This window comes from Homo sapiens, chromosome 9, assembly GCF_000001405.40.
Source record: "Homo sapiens chromosome 9, GRCh38.p14 Primary Assembly".
Classification (NCBI taxonomy): Eukaryota; Metazoa; Chordata; class Mammalia; order Primates; family Hominidae; genus Homo; species Homo sapiens.
The window spans coordinates 28932247-28948684 of record NC_000009.12 but is presented as its reverse complement, the minus strand read 5'-3'; the positions used below and the strand labels follow the sequence as shown (position 1 = coordinate 28948684).

The following is a 16438-nucleotide window of genomic DNA, read 5'->3' as shown; positions in this document are numbered from 1 at the left end:
TTTATTGTAATGAAACCAAAATAGCTATTAAAGGGTATAGACCTAGCCTGGCAAATAAATGTGATTTCATTGTATTTTATGTGATTGTAGTATAATTTCTTGCAATAAATTTGACTTTTAAGTGGTATGTGTATGTGCATGTGCATATATGTATCTGTGTGTGAGAGCGAGAGTCAGAAAATTGCTCAAATTTTGCCAAAAGAGCCAAATAAATACCTGGCAAATTTATAAATGGCAAATTTATAGATTTATAAAAGCTTTAGCTTGCAAAATTATCAAGACTAGAATATATAGGTACAGAGTAATATATTTTATACTAATGTGATGAATGGAAACAGATAAATGTGTTTCATTATTGTATTATGGTTTTTATTCATTCAACTTTTAGAAAGACATCCACAAGCATCTGAAAAAGAGAAAAGCTATATATTCAAATTATTTTTCTTTCTCTAACACACTGTAACTTGATTGCTGTCCTCCTTTTTCTCATCTATATGCTATTGCTGATATTTAGTTGATTTTTAATATACATTTAAGAATACTCATTGATTTATGAAAACACATATAATAAAATGCATTACCTGAAAATGCAAGCAATAGTGTCATCAAGGATGGGTACATCAAATTGGATTGGAAGTAAACATTTTTTTAAATAATTAGGGCAAAACCAGCAAGATGGAGAATGATGTGGAATTTTAGCTGAGCACTACTGAAAGAAGCTAGGTTTTTATTTTCCATGTTCCCAAGAGTTTCTGTTTCATTTCATCTAGGAAATCCACTGGAGATGGTTTCAAGATATAGGATCCTTATATGTGAAGTATCCCAAATGAAGTTGGAGCATCCATGTTGAAATTGCTTCATGTTGTGGTAAGAGGAAAGTGATTCTTAATATGTTGGTCCAATTTCATACTATATATACATATTACATATATATAAAGGAAATGTATATATAATATGCATATTATATATAAATATACAGACGTGTATATGTGTGTGTGTATGGGTTTTCTTCTTACTACGAGCAGATAATGACATAAAAAATATGGAATTTTGTAACCCAGTCTACAAGTTTGAGATTCAACAAAAAGTCTATTATTTTGCAGTGATTATTTTCTTGCTCCTGAAGTGGAGTAGGGCACAATAGCAGACTCAAATTTGTTCTTAATTTCCCACTATGTGTATGTACATTATTTATGTTAGTCAGTAAGTTATCATAACAGCCTTAAGAGGTAGATATTATTATCCACAGAGTAAAGATGCAGAAACAGAAGTTCAGAGAAATTAAAACCTCATCCAAATTGATGAAACTAGCAAATGGCTCAAGAGTGATTTGACTGCAAAATCTACTCTATCACTGCCATGCTGCCTCCTTGGATGAATATTTAAAATATAAGCCACTATTTTTTATGGCACTATCCATGAAGAGTTGTAATTAACGAAATGTTTATCTGAAACATTCCATTCAGCATAATGGAAATTGAAGCTTCTATATCTATATCTATATAGATGTAGATACAGATATATAGATATAGATATAGATATATAGAGAGATATATAGATACAGATCTAGATATAGATATATATTTTTTACATAGAAGACATTTGTTTGAGGAAATTTCAGATTTCTGGTTGAAACCTTTAGAATTCCAGTACACATTTAGGATATTAGTTTATAAATGCCAGAACACAGGTTCTTTTGTTCCTGGGACTCAGCAGTACCATTGGAATTAGTTGCTTTAGGTAGCCTACCTGAAAAATTTCAAACAAGTCTATCCTGGTGATCATGAACCACATATGTACTCTGTCTCTGTGAGTCAGATTTGCTTGGGTTATTCAACAGTGATGCCTTGGAAGGCTGTAAAGCACTCTCTCTGTGGTAGTCATGCCTATAGTCTTGCTTCTGTATTGGTAATAGCACCATTTCTGTGGGAGCAGATACCATGTCTATTGCTGAAGATTACATTTTTACTTTCTGTGTTATGTAATGGGGGGAAAAAGAAAGCCAACTCTCAGTGTGAGATTCAGAGGAGCAGTCTTCAATTATCTCCAGGTTTCAATGTATGGTTTCACTTTTTAATAGGAAAAAGCCTACAAAATTAGTGAATGCATGGAAGATATTAGGCTAGACTCTCCAACATCAATAAGGACAGGCTTCTTCCAGAGCACCAGGGGAAAGGAATCTGGGCAATTCTTTACTAAAGCTATTTTTGATTATTTCCATTCTGAGAACACCTGAATAAATGTCCATATCCCTCCTATGCTATATTGCTTTTCAATTCAAGCATCTTTAAAAAATTTTACAGAAGCTCCTAACCAAACATTTCCAAATTCCCACTTGATGTCCAGCTTCGGATTGATTTTAAAAGTTTTTTTAAAATAGAATTCTCTCTGTGTAGGGGCACATTTCTTTCTGCTTTTTCTCTGTAGTAACCCTATATTTGCTTCTGTTTTACCTACTTTGAAGTAGTGATCAAGTTACTAAACATCTTTTAGCCTCAGAATTCTCATTAAAATATGAGGTTCATAACAGTCAGATTGCTTACATTTTAAAGATTACAAAGCATATATGTAAATCATCTCGTTCTTAGAACATTACTGGTGATCTTTCATATTAGCTATATATCTAGATCTACTGATAGGTTTGATAACATACAAATCCCTCAAATATTTATGAGGAACTTTTTGGAATCTTCCAGAATAAGGACAAAATTGGGTTAGGAGATTGGTGTGACTCATGAGGTTGGTGGGGAGGAGGTGAAAGGAAGCCTCATCTTTATCAGAAGTACCTAACCTAAAACAAGTACCTAAAAATGAGCATTTTATTCATTTATTACCATGCCAGAAGCAATAGATCTTTACCTTAGGTTTGTTCATATAACCTGTATGACAATGTTCCGTTATCATGAGGCTTTTTAACATTTGCTTCTCTAGGGCAACAGTTCTCAAGATTTAAAGTGTTTACAACCACCTGGAAAGCATTTTAAATACAGAGGGTAGCAGGTGCTATTTGGGGGATTCTGCTTCAGTACGATAGGTTGAGTCCTAAGAATTTACATTTTAAACATGATTATTCAGAACCAGAGCAATTCTGGTATACCCCACTAACTGCCATTTTTTCACCTTGAAGATTAAAGTTTTACAGTCTATTTGGAAGTTTTATTGTTGGAGATAGAATTGAACAATTTTATTACGTAACTGTTAAGAGAGATAGGTAAGAATGAGACAAGAGTTAATAATAGTTCTCTACACTTATTAGGCAGTAGAGTAACTCTGTACAGAATTTGATTCCACGTACTTATAAAAAGTTAATGGAAGAACTATGTAAAAATAAAACATGATGGTCAAGTTAATAATAGGGTTTCTGATTTTACTATTGTTTATCAATACCTTTTAATAACCAGTTGCTTTCATATATATTAATTTATCAAATCCTCATTCTAGTTCTGTTTAGCATTTTGTATCCTCATTTTACAGATTAATACAAATAGATTTATAGGAAATACTGGCTTGTTAAGTTGTAAGGTTAGAAAACGATAGGGCCAATCTTGGTACCAAGATAGCATGCAACTGGTACAGCTGCTTCCTAATCCTAGGGTAATTTAATTTTCTAATCATGAAAGGTTTTGTTTTATGACAGCCACCAGTATAAGCATGTATTGGAACAACCAGCCTATATTTGTTTTGTTTAAGCTGCTGAACACTTAATTCACCTTCACCTGATGAGTTAGACTTTGAAAAGCATCAGTAGAGTAGGCCTATTTCATCTGTTTTGTAGAACTTCTCAGGAAAATATTTTCTGAAAAACAGGTTTCAGGTATCTTCTGCACACAGGTAAAAAACATTCTTGTTTTTTACCAGTGTGCTTATTGACTTTCACCAATTATTTTGACTGTTTGTATGTCATCTTTCATTTAAATCAATTATTAGTGATTAAGCTTCATTCAGTAGCTGGTCAATAACCTCTTTTAAGAACAAAAGCGGCCAGGTGTGGTGGCTCACGCCTGTAGTCCCAGCATGTTGGGAGGCCGAGGTGGGCAGATCACCTGAGGTCAGGAGTTCTAGACCAGCCTGGCCAACATGGTGAAACCCTGTCTCTACTAAAAATACAAAAATTAGCCAGGCGTGGTGGCAGGCGCCTGTAATCCCAGCTACACGGGAGGCTGAGGCAGGAGAATTGCTTGAACCCGGGAGGCAGAGGTTGCAATGAGCCGAGATCATGCCATCGCACTCCAGCCTGGGGGACAAGAGTGAGAGTTCATCTCCAAAACAAACAAACAAAAACCCAAAAGCATTTTAGGTATGTAGATAGATAGACAGACAGACAGACAGAGATAGAGGTATGTCCAGCCCCCTTTGTATCTAGGTTTGGCTTTGTGTCTAAGTTCTGGCCAATGTGATGTTACCTAAAACAATGCATACCATTACTAGGTCATATCCTTCAAGGGTCTGAATGTCTGCTTCTCTTTCTTCCTTGACTAACTTGGAAATTAGATATGGAATGAGATGTCGTGGTGAGCCAGCTTGTATCATACAGACAAAGATAACTGTCTAGATGTGGTAGAATAACATCATAGAAGAAGTCTCGCTTACTGCCTTAATTTATAGAGCGAAACAGTCCAGGACTCCTTCTGTGATGAATGTTATGTGAAAGATGAATAAGCTCTACTTGTTTAGTTATTGCTGTTAAGCCACTATATAGGGCAGAATATATGTCCTAATGAACTCATGCATTCTTCCGTGAATGTGTTACTCATGAATGTTTAGCACACTATGGTTCCTTTACGAAGTTAATCTTAGCTCGACAAGATTCACTGGGCCCTTAAACAAAGAATGCCACTGTGATTGCCTAGATATTATACATGTACCCTATAGAAGCATCTCATCTCGCACATCTTACTCCTTACACTATTCTTCTCACCACCTTCTCCACTGATCCATCACCAGCCCTGTTATCCTTTTTTTCCATCCATTACAGAGCAATGCATACGTTTGTTACTTTTTTCAATTCGTTTTGCTACAGCACTTACCTTTCATGCATGTGCATTGTGAAGACTGCAAATAAAAGACAATAGGAATAATAAACCCTGAGACGAACTTCAGAGTCCTTGCCTTTCTTAACAGCATTCAATATAAACTTTAAAAACCACATCAGACTATGCAAATAAAACAATAAGTGGATGCCTTAAAGCTTCTCCCAAGATAACAACATCCAAACCTGTATAATCTACAATATATTCTTCATTGTCTCCTGCCCTTCACTCAATCCGTCACCTGATCTATCCTCATTTTGCTTGCAGGACACATTTTTTTTTTCATCTGTAGCATACCTCCTTGGATCTTTATTTTAGAGAGGATTTTAGATCTATATTTAATTCCCATAGTAGTCAAAGAATGTCTTGATGTCTTATGGATGCAGTGTTCTCCTGCTCCATAATGGAGTCCTCAGTTATCTTTAAGTGGCAATTATTCTACAAAGAATGCTCCCTACTAAAATGACTGTTTTGACTATGACACTAGCATTCTGGGACCCAGCCTGAGATTGCGTCTTTACCTTAGCCCTTAATACGACAGTTTGTGCATTTTCTGACTAGCAGAATGCAAGCTTATTATATGCCTTAATATATCTCATAGCTGGTTGCTTACTACAATTGCCATATTTTATCATTCTGTCTGTCACTGCTTTAATGCATCTCCTATTCCTAAGCATACATGCTGTCACTTCCAACTCAATGTTCAACACACAGTATCTCACTTAATTCCCTTAAGCCTCTTAGATAAATGTAATGATCACATTTTAGTCACCAACTCAACAAACATTTATTTAGCATTTCTTTTGTGTCACCTATTATTTTAGGGAAGGGAGAGGGAGATAGCAAGTAGCCCCCCATTTGCTCACTCTCTCATAGGGAAGACAAATAAGTGTAAAAATACAAAAACAAAAACAGAAACCCTCCCAAAAAAACTTTTAAGTATACAGTAATAGCATAAAACTTCATTCTAAGAACAAGGAGCAAATAAGAAAATTGCTCAGTTTCACTGGAAGGAGAGAAATGGCAAAGATTAGAAAATGTTTCCTGGGCATCGTACTTCAGCTGAAATTGAAAAGATAAGGAGACAGACTCAGACAGAGAAAACAGATTTTCTGAAATGTCACAGCTAGTTAGTGGCAAAGAAGGGACAGAGATTCACACCCAGGTACTTCTGATGTCATGGCCCATGCAGTCAGCCATTCTGGATTCAGTTATTTGGTTTTTGGTGATTTCTATAATTGAATGCCATTTACATATTGGTACACCCACCTGGCACCCCCATCACTTACTCTCCTCACTTCTGAGCACTTGCTTCTCAGCTATATATCATCTCTACCACCAAGTTATAGTTTTATATAGCTTTATAACTTGGTGCTGGAGATGATATACAAATTAAGTTTTCAAGGAAACAACTTCCAAATTTTGAGGTTTCCTGTACAGTCTTTCCTAAAAGAGTCCAAATGATATTCCAATTATGGTCTGCCAATTCTGCTTTTCTACTTTTCCTTTCACAATAGCTCCTCTTTCACTTTACAATACAAAGACATGGTTCTCATTCTTGTCCTTACTTCCCAGGGTATGCCGTCCTGGGGGATAAAAACGTTGGTGAGGTTTAAAAAAGGGAAGAGTCAGGAACAAAATGAAGCTTCTATAGGGACAGTCCCAAGAGAGCAAAACAAAGGAGCTTAAGGAAGAAATAAAGGGGGAGTACCTTATTTCTTTCAGGTGTTAAACTTATAACAATGCTACTGTCTTTATCTTCCTGTTGTTCATCACTTGATCAAGCTTTTCTCCATCCATCCTCATCTTCTTTTGGATTTCCTCTGATAAGATGAAAGATTAAAATATCTGTATACCAAAGGTTTTAAGGAACATGTACTTAAAGCATAAATAAAATATATAGTAACCCCAAAATTATATTCTTTAAAATTATACACACAAAAATTTGTTTTTGATGTCAACTTTAAAAAGGTATGGGAGTGTAAAAATAGTCATTCAATGCATATAATAGCTCTGAAAACATATGCATTAAATGCATGAATAAGTGAGTGGAGGATTTATTCTAATGTAAAAGGCAAAGTCTCAAGATTTACAGATCTCTCTTGAGAAGTGAGAACAATTGTACTATAATATGTATACATTTTTGCCTAGTTGCAAAAGGGGCTTATCACACAATATTATATAATTTAATTGGACAGTATCATTAGCATGTAAATGCCAAGGAGACACTTGTGGTACTATCATTATATGCTGCCCCAAGCTGTTTCACAGGATCATTGAAAAAGGAATAGGGTATCGTTTGTTTCTTCTCAGCTTTGAGGAATGACAGTAAAATTATTATTGCAGCATAATTAAATATGCATATCTAGATACTAATAAATGCTTTGCTGTCCTAGAATTCAAGAGAAGTGTCAGGCCTCTCAGCCTTCTCTGGCACTGGTCAGAGTCTCTAAGTTTTTCTGTAGCTTTCCATAGCTAATAAATGACTACAGAACTTTCAAGAGAATTTTACCATTTATTGCCCTTGCTGAAAACTCCAGTACTGTATCTGCTTATTTTATTTCAGCTGAATTCCTTCCTTCCTTCATTTCTTTCTTCCTCCTTTCCTCCCTTCTTCCCTTTCTCTTTTATTTTTTTTTGTGGAGAGAAAGAGTGTGACTGGGGCAAAGACATAAATATGAGTGTTCCTTTTAAGATACATTAGTCAATTTTCTCTTTTCAGGGGCATTTAAAGCAGAAAGTACATAAATAAAATTAATTGCATAACTCTCTAGACTCCTCAAAATCTTGATGTGTTTAGTCTCTGTAATTGGTGTTGTATATTCAAAGTAAGTTTTGCAAACAGCAGGAGCACAGGCTGCATAAGAGCTGCCTATTAAATAGGGGCAATTTGCAGTAATGAAAGTCCTGTCAGCAATCCTTCATAGTTATGGGAGTCACTAGTTGGAGTTTCACAAAGCTACCTTCTCCATTTCTATTTCTCACACATATGCACATACAAAGTTTTAATGTTTGTTATAACTGATTTTTATTAGCCACTGTAGTCTTATTATCTTGACATGAACCAAAGTAAAACAAATGTGTTAGTTAATATAATACTAGATTCTGTAACAAATAAACCTCAAGGTGTATAATAGCTCAAACACAATAGAATTACAGTTCTTTGTCATTTAAAGTTAAAAAAAACATATGGGGTGCATGGACAGCTCTCATTTAAGTAGAGATTCAAAGAACAGTGCTCCTTCCATCTGAGGGCTTGCTATTTTCAATATGTGTCTTCTAGGATCACCCTGATTAGCTTTATAATCTGGTAGAAGGGAAAAAGATATAAGGAGCACAAGTAGGCATTTTTGAAGGCCAGGCTGAGGAGTGGGGTACCATAATTTTACTCATTTTCCACTGGGTAGAACTCACCTGACAGAGCAACAGAGACAGGGAGTCATAGCCTACCTGCATGTCTAAGAGGAGAAGACATCGGCTTGGTGAACAGCTAAACTGTCACTGCCCAGCAACATGTAAGGTTTGGGAAATGCAATAATCAGTAATAAGAGGATGACTAAAGTTGGAGGCTGATGCAAGGCAATGTAGAAATTATAAAATGTAACAGAGTGCTTCATAAATTATTTTTATAATTATATTGATCTTTTCATGCAGAATGAAAATGCTAATTAGTTTCGTAAGTATTGACAAATTAAACAGCCACAGACAATGCTGGGCCCCAGTAATAAAGAGAACTTAATTCTCTCAAGATTTATTCTACTTTTTAATCTAGAGTGGGTAATAGAGGACTACAGGTCTTAATAAAGGTAAAGACCACCTTTTGGCTCAGAGGGAATTCAGAAAGGTGGGGTAGAAATGCACTGCAGTCATTCATTCACTCATCCCATGCACATTTTTTAAGTACCTTCTATATTCCAGTTGCTGTATTTACCTTGAAGATAGATAAATTAGTAAGATAGCACCTCTGCTCTCAAGACCTTGCATCTAAGTGGAAGAAACAAACCTTTAAACCAATAAGTAATTATAGTATTATAGTTACAGTTCTATGAAAGTATGAAAGGAGTGATCACATCTTCCAGAGATATTAGGAAATATCATATAGAAGAGATGCCATTTAATCTGGGTCTAGAAGAATAAGTATTTTTAGGCAGCAGAAAGAGTTTAAAGCTACCCATTTTAGGGGTAGTCAAGTATATGAAACCCATGGTCAAGTATATGAAAAAATGAGGCAGCTGAAGGGTATGAAAGAAAGTGGCACAAACAGAAATAGGAAGTTATTTTGCATGTCTGGAAAATAAAGGCTTTATAACAGGAGACAGAGTTCTGGGGAAGCCAGTTAGTGAGCAATGATTCCAACCTCAAATGTAGATGGAATAGTAGATTTTTGAGGGAGGTCCTAGCAGAGGAGGAGTGGCTGTTCTCTTCGTTGTCACTTTTTCACTGTTGTCAGCACTCTTAAGTAGCCTTAAGTAGCTTAAGTAGCCTTCGAACTGCAGAACATAAGGCACTCCTCCTCATTCACCTCCACGGTCATTCTTGCACTATATGTGTTCTCAGGGAGCTATAAAAGGGATAGAGCTACACAGATAGAATTTGCAGAAATAAGATAAGTGCAGGAAAGTAATAAAAGAAAGTAAAGTTCATTAAATTGGAATATAAGTTGCCCTTCCATAAATATGACAGAGCATGTTATCCTGCTATTGAACAGTTTCTACTTGTTAGTTCAATTTCTGCGTGTGAGCTCTTATTTCTTAACATTACATATTCCAGGAAAACACAGTGGACAAAATCATAGATATGAGAAATAGTATAATATTTGTTACAGTGTGATCGTATATCACTTACAGACAGGGATACATTCTGAGAAACCCATTGTTAGATGATTTCATCATTGTGCAAACATCATAGAGTAGATTTACACAAACCTACATGGCATGGTCTGCACCTATATGGTGTAGCCTATTGCTCCTAGGCTACAAACCTGTACAGCATGTTACTGTACCAAATACTGTATGCAGTTGTAATGTAATGGTAAGTATTTGTGTATCTAAACATAGAAAAGATAATGCATTGTGCCAAGTTGATGGTTATGATGTCACTAGGCGATAGGAAATTTTTAGCTCCATTATAATCTTATGGGACAACCATTATATATGTGGCCCATCATTGATAGAAATGTCCTTATGGGGTGCATGACTATATGTAGTATATACTATAATACTCATAAGTAAAATGTAAAAGGAGAGAGAGAAATTGAAGAAAGAAGTGTTAAGCAAAAAGGAAATTGAACTTAAAATATTTGGAAAATTCTAAGCCAATGCATATTATTAAAAAATGAGAAAGCATGTTCTATAGAGAACACCAAGAATGTGGTTGGCCAATCACTCCATAAAGAGGTAACCCATAAATTTAGTTAGCCATCTTTGCAGAGGTCAGGAATAATAAATGGGTGACTCCAGCAGAGGTCCTGCCACTGGACTAAAAGGAACAAAGATGGGACAAAATGAAGAAAGGCTTTCAGACTTCTGAAATTCTATAGAATGGAACAAAAGAGATAACTGGCTCTCTGGCTGCAAAATATGCCTTATTCTTTAACACAGGAACAGAAAACCAAATCCCAACTGTTTTCACTTGTAAATGGGAGCTAAATGATAAGAAAACATAAATATGTAGCGGAGAACAACACACACTGGGATCTTTTCAGGGGTGGAGGGTTGTAGGAGGGAGAGGATCAGAAAAAATAACCAGTGGGTCCTAGGATTAATACCTGGGTGATGCAAAAATCTGTACAACAAACCCCCATGTTACCTATGTAACAAACTTGCCCTTGTACCCCTGAACTTAAAATAAAAGTGGAAAAAAAAAGAAAAATGATCCAAACAGCAATTGAGAGACTAGCAGGTCTGCCACTCACACCGCAGGCCCAGAACCCACAGATGCAAAGGTGCAAGGCTGTCTCCTTCCTGGTTTCAGGGGTAGGACCACCTCCTTGGTTTCAGAGGATGAGGCTGCCCTTGCTCATTTCCTCAGGGGCAAAACTGCCACCCATGGCTGAGTGGGTGGGACTCCTCACCAATGGGTCTAGAAAGTGAGGCTGCCACCCTATTGGGACTGGAAAGCAGAGCATCAAGCCAAAGAGAATTATTCTCTGGAACCTTCAGATCTAACAGAATTTGCCTTTCTAGGTTTTGGACTTGCTTGAGATCTATCATCCCTTTCTTTATTCCAATTTCTGTCTTTTGGAACAATAATGTCTTTCCTATGTCCGTCCTACCATTTTATTCTGGAAGCACATACCTTGTTAGGTTTCGCAGGTTCATAGCAGGAGAAGAATTATTCACAAACAAATTTCAAATGCTGCCTCTCAAGTCTTACCATACGCGATATGTGATATTTAGATACACTTTCATCTTGGAGTCGATACTGGGATGGGTTAAGGCTTTTAAGACTATTGAGATGGGGTGAATGCATTTTGCATGCCAGAGAACATGAATTTTGGGGGACCAGAGGGTAGATTATGGTCCCCAAATCCATATGTTGAAGGTCTAGTGCCCCAATGTGACTTTATTTAGAGACAGTGTCTTTAAGAAGGTAATTAAGATTAAATGAGATCAATAGAGCCAATACTGTTAATCCAATACTGCTGGTGTCCTACAAGAAGAGACCCCAGAAGTGTATGCACACAGAGAAAAAGCCATGTGAGGATACATCGAGAAAGCAGTCATCTGAAAGCCAGTAGAGGCCTCACCAGAAACCAATCCTGCTGTTCCCTTGATGTTGGACTTACAGCCTCCAGGACTATAAGAAAATAAATTTTTGCTTAAGCCATCCAGTCTGTGATATATCGTTATACCAGCTCAAGCTGACAAATACAATATGTTCAAATGTGACTGACCACTTATAATAATAATGGCAATAATATTTGCCATATATCAGATAATATTTTAAGCCCTATATGTACATTATTTCATTAATACCCTTGATAACTTTTAACACTAATTATTAACACAATTTTACAAATTGAGAAAATCAGATCAACCAGGAAGACTACTGGTTTTCCAAGCAGTGGAGAACTCAGTGTCATTCTAATGTAGTTCGGTTGCATGTGACTCTCCACAAAGAGCTTAGCTTCTCTGGGCTTCAGTTTTATTGTCCATTAAGTGATAATGATATGTTTGCTGGCCTCTTCAGATGGTTATTTGTGTGGTTTAAATAAGATGATTTAAGGGAAACCATTGTATCCATTTGAGTCAGGAATATCTTTATCATCACCACTACCATTTTTTGGTGACCTTCTGTTCCTGCTCAGATCATGGACTTTTCACAGGACTGTGATGGCAAGACACCACAACACCCTTTCAAAATAGTTTTCTTTCAACTTTTTGTGTACAGGCTTTTGTTCTGACTATTAATTTAAAGAAAAGATATGATCATAAGATTTCCTTGAATAGCATTCTTTTCAGATGGTGAAAAATTAGTCTCCTTATGACTTCATTGAGTTTGCACATGGAAGTTAATAATAGATAATGATTGTGAAAATTTGTTTGTGAATAATTAAGGGTATTGGCCCACAAAATAAATTTCCCTTACTATCTTAATATTGTATTAATCTTACTAATGTTGAGTTCCTTGCTTTTGCCCACTTTGCTATCTCTGTAGAACAAAATACTCATTTTCTCTAATATGACTCTATTTTAATACCTTTTAATTAGCTACTAGAACATAGTTCTTTTGTTTCTCTAACAAAACAAAATCTAGCTGTCCCTTTTATATTATATGAACATGGCTTTTTTGTATGTGTATTTCAGATTGAGCCCTATTTTGCCAGTGTATCTTTTAACTAGGTCAAATATTTTATTTTTATCAAAATGAATTATAAAGTAATCAGATTAGCTCAACAGTGAGAAATGCCATTTAAAGAATTTGACTATATTGCAGATTTGTTTTTTTAAAAAAAGAACATTATATTTAATCCTCTTATGACTCTATAACATATATATTTATTAAACAATTTAAATACAGTTGCTTCTTTCTAAAGCAATATGAATAGAGTCCTCACCAAGCATATTTTGACTCCCAATCACTATGTATATGAAAATGTTTAGAATTTAAATATTCTAATTTTATGCAATTATGAAAAATAGATTTCTAGTTTTTGTATGCATCAACATTCATTACATTGCCTTAACTTTTAAATTGCTTCTTCTCTACTCTCCCAGTCTCTTTGTCTATATCTTAACTATAGGACAGCCACAAGATGGAATAAGAAAAAGAAATAGGTCATATAATGGGGTATTGCACCAAGAGCCCTTTTTAGCATTGGATGGTTTGACAGTTCCATGTTTGAGATCACTAGTCAGAATTTTAAAGAAAAAGAGGCATGCTGTTATTCCGGTTGAATGTAATGTCCTAATAACTGTAAGAATATTAGGACATCTAAAAAGACACTTCATGATATATACCCTGTTAGTCTCTTTTTTTATTGTTAATTGCAGAAAATGTCTCCCAGGAATTTGTAGGTTACAAGTATATATATCCTTTTTTTTGTATTTTTTGTGATTAATCTTGAAAAACAATTTTTAAAAACAAAAACTAAAGACCAGTATTGATGAGTATCATTCTCTTGGATTTTGACGTGGTTTCTTTTAAAGAAATTGATTATCAAGCCATAGTATAATTCTTTAGCAAAATCAAACAAGCATCAAACCTCAGGATATCAGAAAACAGAGAATACTGCAATTTAAATGGACAGCACTGTTATAATGATGTATGTATTCAGCAGACAATGGCTGTATTACCAAGGCAATCTGAATTAATCTGAAATTGAATCACCCTTTGTACAAAATTGAGGAAATTGAAGCAATTTTAGATTAAGACATACAAATATCATGCTATAAACTTAAAATTGAATTCAAAATAAATGGAGCTCTCTATTGTCTTACTTTCGTTGTTTTATTGTTTTAACTTTTTTATCCCTTTTTTTGCTGCAAAGAGCAAAGATATTGGAGGTTTCTTAAATGTGTGAAACTGTACATTGACCTACCAAATAGAAATATCTGGAATAAAAGATACCTGATTTTTTTAGGGATTGAAAGTATTTCCTTTACTGCAATCAAGAAAGTTTCATTTTTATCATACTCAGCATGAAATTGTTTACAGCTTGTGACAGAATGGAAAAGACATAAGCCCTTGACATAAAAGTTATTAATGTACTTGTCAATCATAGTCAATTAAAGGAGATTCATAAAAGTTGGCATTATCTGATGGACCCTCCTAGCTCACTCACATTAGTCATTTTCAGGCTCTTTCTAAGAGACTCATTAGCTCATCTATTTGCAAATGACTGCCACTATCTGGGCAGATTGCCTTTAAGTTCTATTTTGCTGAAGGATAGTGTTCTCTTGAAAGATAGCCATGTTGATCAGCATAAACCAGTGTAACAGGAATTTAAAGTCATGTGTGGGCAAGTTAGATTCAACAAGAAATAAAACAAATTTCAATACTCAAGTTCAGCTATGTATTAAAAAGAGTTGGAATTTTCAGAGAGCTGGATCCATTTTTCCCCCAGTCGTTACATTGGCCAGGAAGAAGTGCTACACTCCTACCAGTCCTCACCCCTATACCTTATGTCCCTCCACAGAGGATTCCCACATCCTTATGTCATCGTAAATATCAGAGAAGCTCTTCAAAAGAAAATATGTTTATTTTAGGAATAGATCATTGCAATGGGAGTACACTTCCATAATAAATTGTATGCATATTTTAAGAGGTAAAGAAAGCCAAAAGTTTTTATAAGAGAAAATGATTACACAATTGTTTTGAAATGATTATCCTTGGTTACAAAGATCAATAACAAGGGTGATACCAGTCCAAAGCTGGACAAGCAATTGTTGGGCGGATGTCCTTGTAGAAGTATTTTTTTGTGTAAGGTCACAATGGCCTTGGGCAAATTTGTGGGTTTTGCAGCATCTTTTTTTGTTATCAAGTATACAAGCTTGAGAACTCTCTTTTCATGGCCTTCCCTGGCTCTGTTTGTCCGGATTTTGATTCTGACAACTTTCACACTTATAAAATCTTTGGTGCCTGATGGTGGAGCTACCCTGTACTCCCATCAGATTTCTGCCTCGTGATATATTCTATATTGTCTTCTCCTACTACCATCTTATCAAAATCTGAAAGCTCCGGGAAAAAAAAATTGTTAACATCAAAAAATATGTTTGGAAAATGGCTATGGTTGGGTTAGTAAAGAGTTCTTATGCGATTGGCGGACAAGGAGGCTAGAAACTCAGGGTTAAAGAGAATATTTTCAAAGAGTTTGCAAAAGAGTTTTGGTTTAAACTAAGGATTTTGGGGAACCCAATGAAGCAGGGTGGTGATATGTTGAAAATTATATTTTAGGGAGATCCCTCAGGCAATAGTATGGAAAATACAGTGGAATGAGATAAGTAGGCTGGGCACGGTGGCTCATGACTGTAATCCCAGCACTTTGGGAGGCTGAGGTGGGCAGATCACATAAGGCCAGGAGTTCGAGACCAGTCTGGGCAACATGGCAAAACCCTGTCAATACTAAAAATACAAAAATTAGCCAGGCATGGTGGTGTATGTCTGTAATCCCAGCTACTCAGGAGGCTGAGACACAAGAAACACTTGAATCCTGGAGGTGGAGTTTGCAGTGAGTGGAAATCACACCACTGCATTCCAGCCTGGGTGACAGAGTGAGACTCCATCTCAATAATAATAATAATAATAATATAATAAAAAGAGGTAACTAAAGACAAACTGGCAGTAGAATATTGTAATTATATATAAGCGTAGTAATTAGGATCTAAACTAAAGCAGTAGCAGAAAAAATTGAGAGTAACTAAGAAATTTGAGAAGTAGCTGGGTGGTAAATTGATACAACTTTGCAATTAGATGTTGGGTAGGAGGAAAGGGGAGGAGATTAGAATGAGTCCAGGTTCTTAAATTATACAATGATAATATAGGAGGAGGCACAGGCTTAGTTAGAGAAAAGTTACCTTTTAGGGACTTGTTAGACAACCCAGAGGAAACCGTTTTAGAACTCACGAAGTTCTTAATAGAGGTAAAGATTTAAAAGTGCCTATGTCATTGGATTTCTCTGAGTATATGTAAGACGTTGTCTTAAACACGCTTAGCATAGTGTCTTAAGTGGAATAAGTTCTCAATAAATAGTAGCTATGGTTCCTGATGATGGACTGAAAGATGTGGATAGTTGGATTATTCTAGGATGGAAATTTGACTCCAGTCCTGGATCAGATGGACAAGGGACAGAGAGAGAAGGAATTCCAGTTATTATAAAGGAAGGTTAAAATAATAAGCCCAGGAAACTATGCTACATCAAAAATTAAAGGAAAAAAAGACTGCCAGACTTCAGGAGAAAAGAATGA

The 16438-nt window shown here is 35.6% G+C and overlaps 1 protein-coding gene across 11 annotated transcripts in view, besides 1 other annotated feature; it reads left to right on the top strand.

Annotated features, from left to right (window-relative positions):
* The window catches only part of LINGO2 (leucine rich repeat and Ig domain containing 2), a 1275985-nt gene that overhangs the window by 264917 nt on the left and 994630 nt on the right, over positions 1-16438 (top strand). For all 11 annotated transcript variants that reach the window (NM_001354574.2, NM_001258282.3, XM_047422814.1 and 8 more), the window contains exon 2: positions 771-867. The gene's annotated coding sequence lies outside the window, so the exon portion shown is untranslated. The remainder of the gene's footprint in view (positions 1-770; positions 868-16438) is intronic.
* Positions 9209-9790: an enhancer, noted in NCBI's record as "NANOG hESC enhancer chr9:28938893-28939474 (GRCh37/hg19 assembly coordinates)". NCBI's record gives its function as "activates a minimal SCP1, AML or CMV promoter by ChIP-STARR-seq in naive H9 embryonic stem cells {active_cell/tissue: H9 hESC(naive)}" and the evidence as "EXISTENCE:reporter gene assay evidence [ECO:0000049][PMID:30033119]".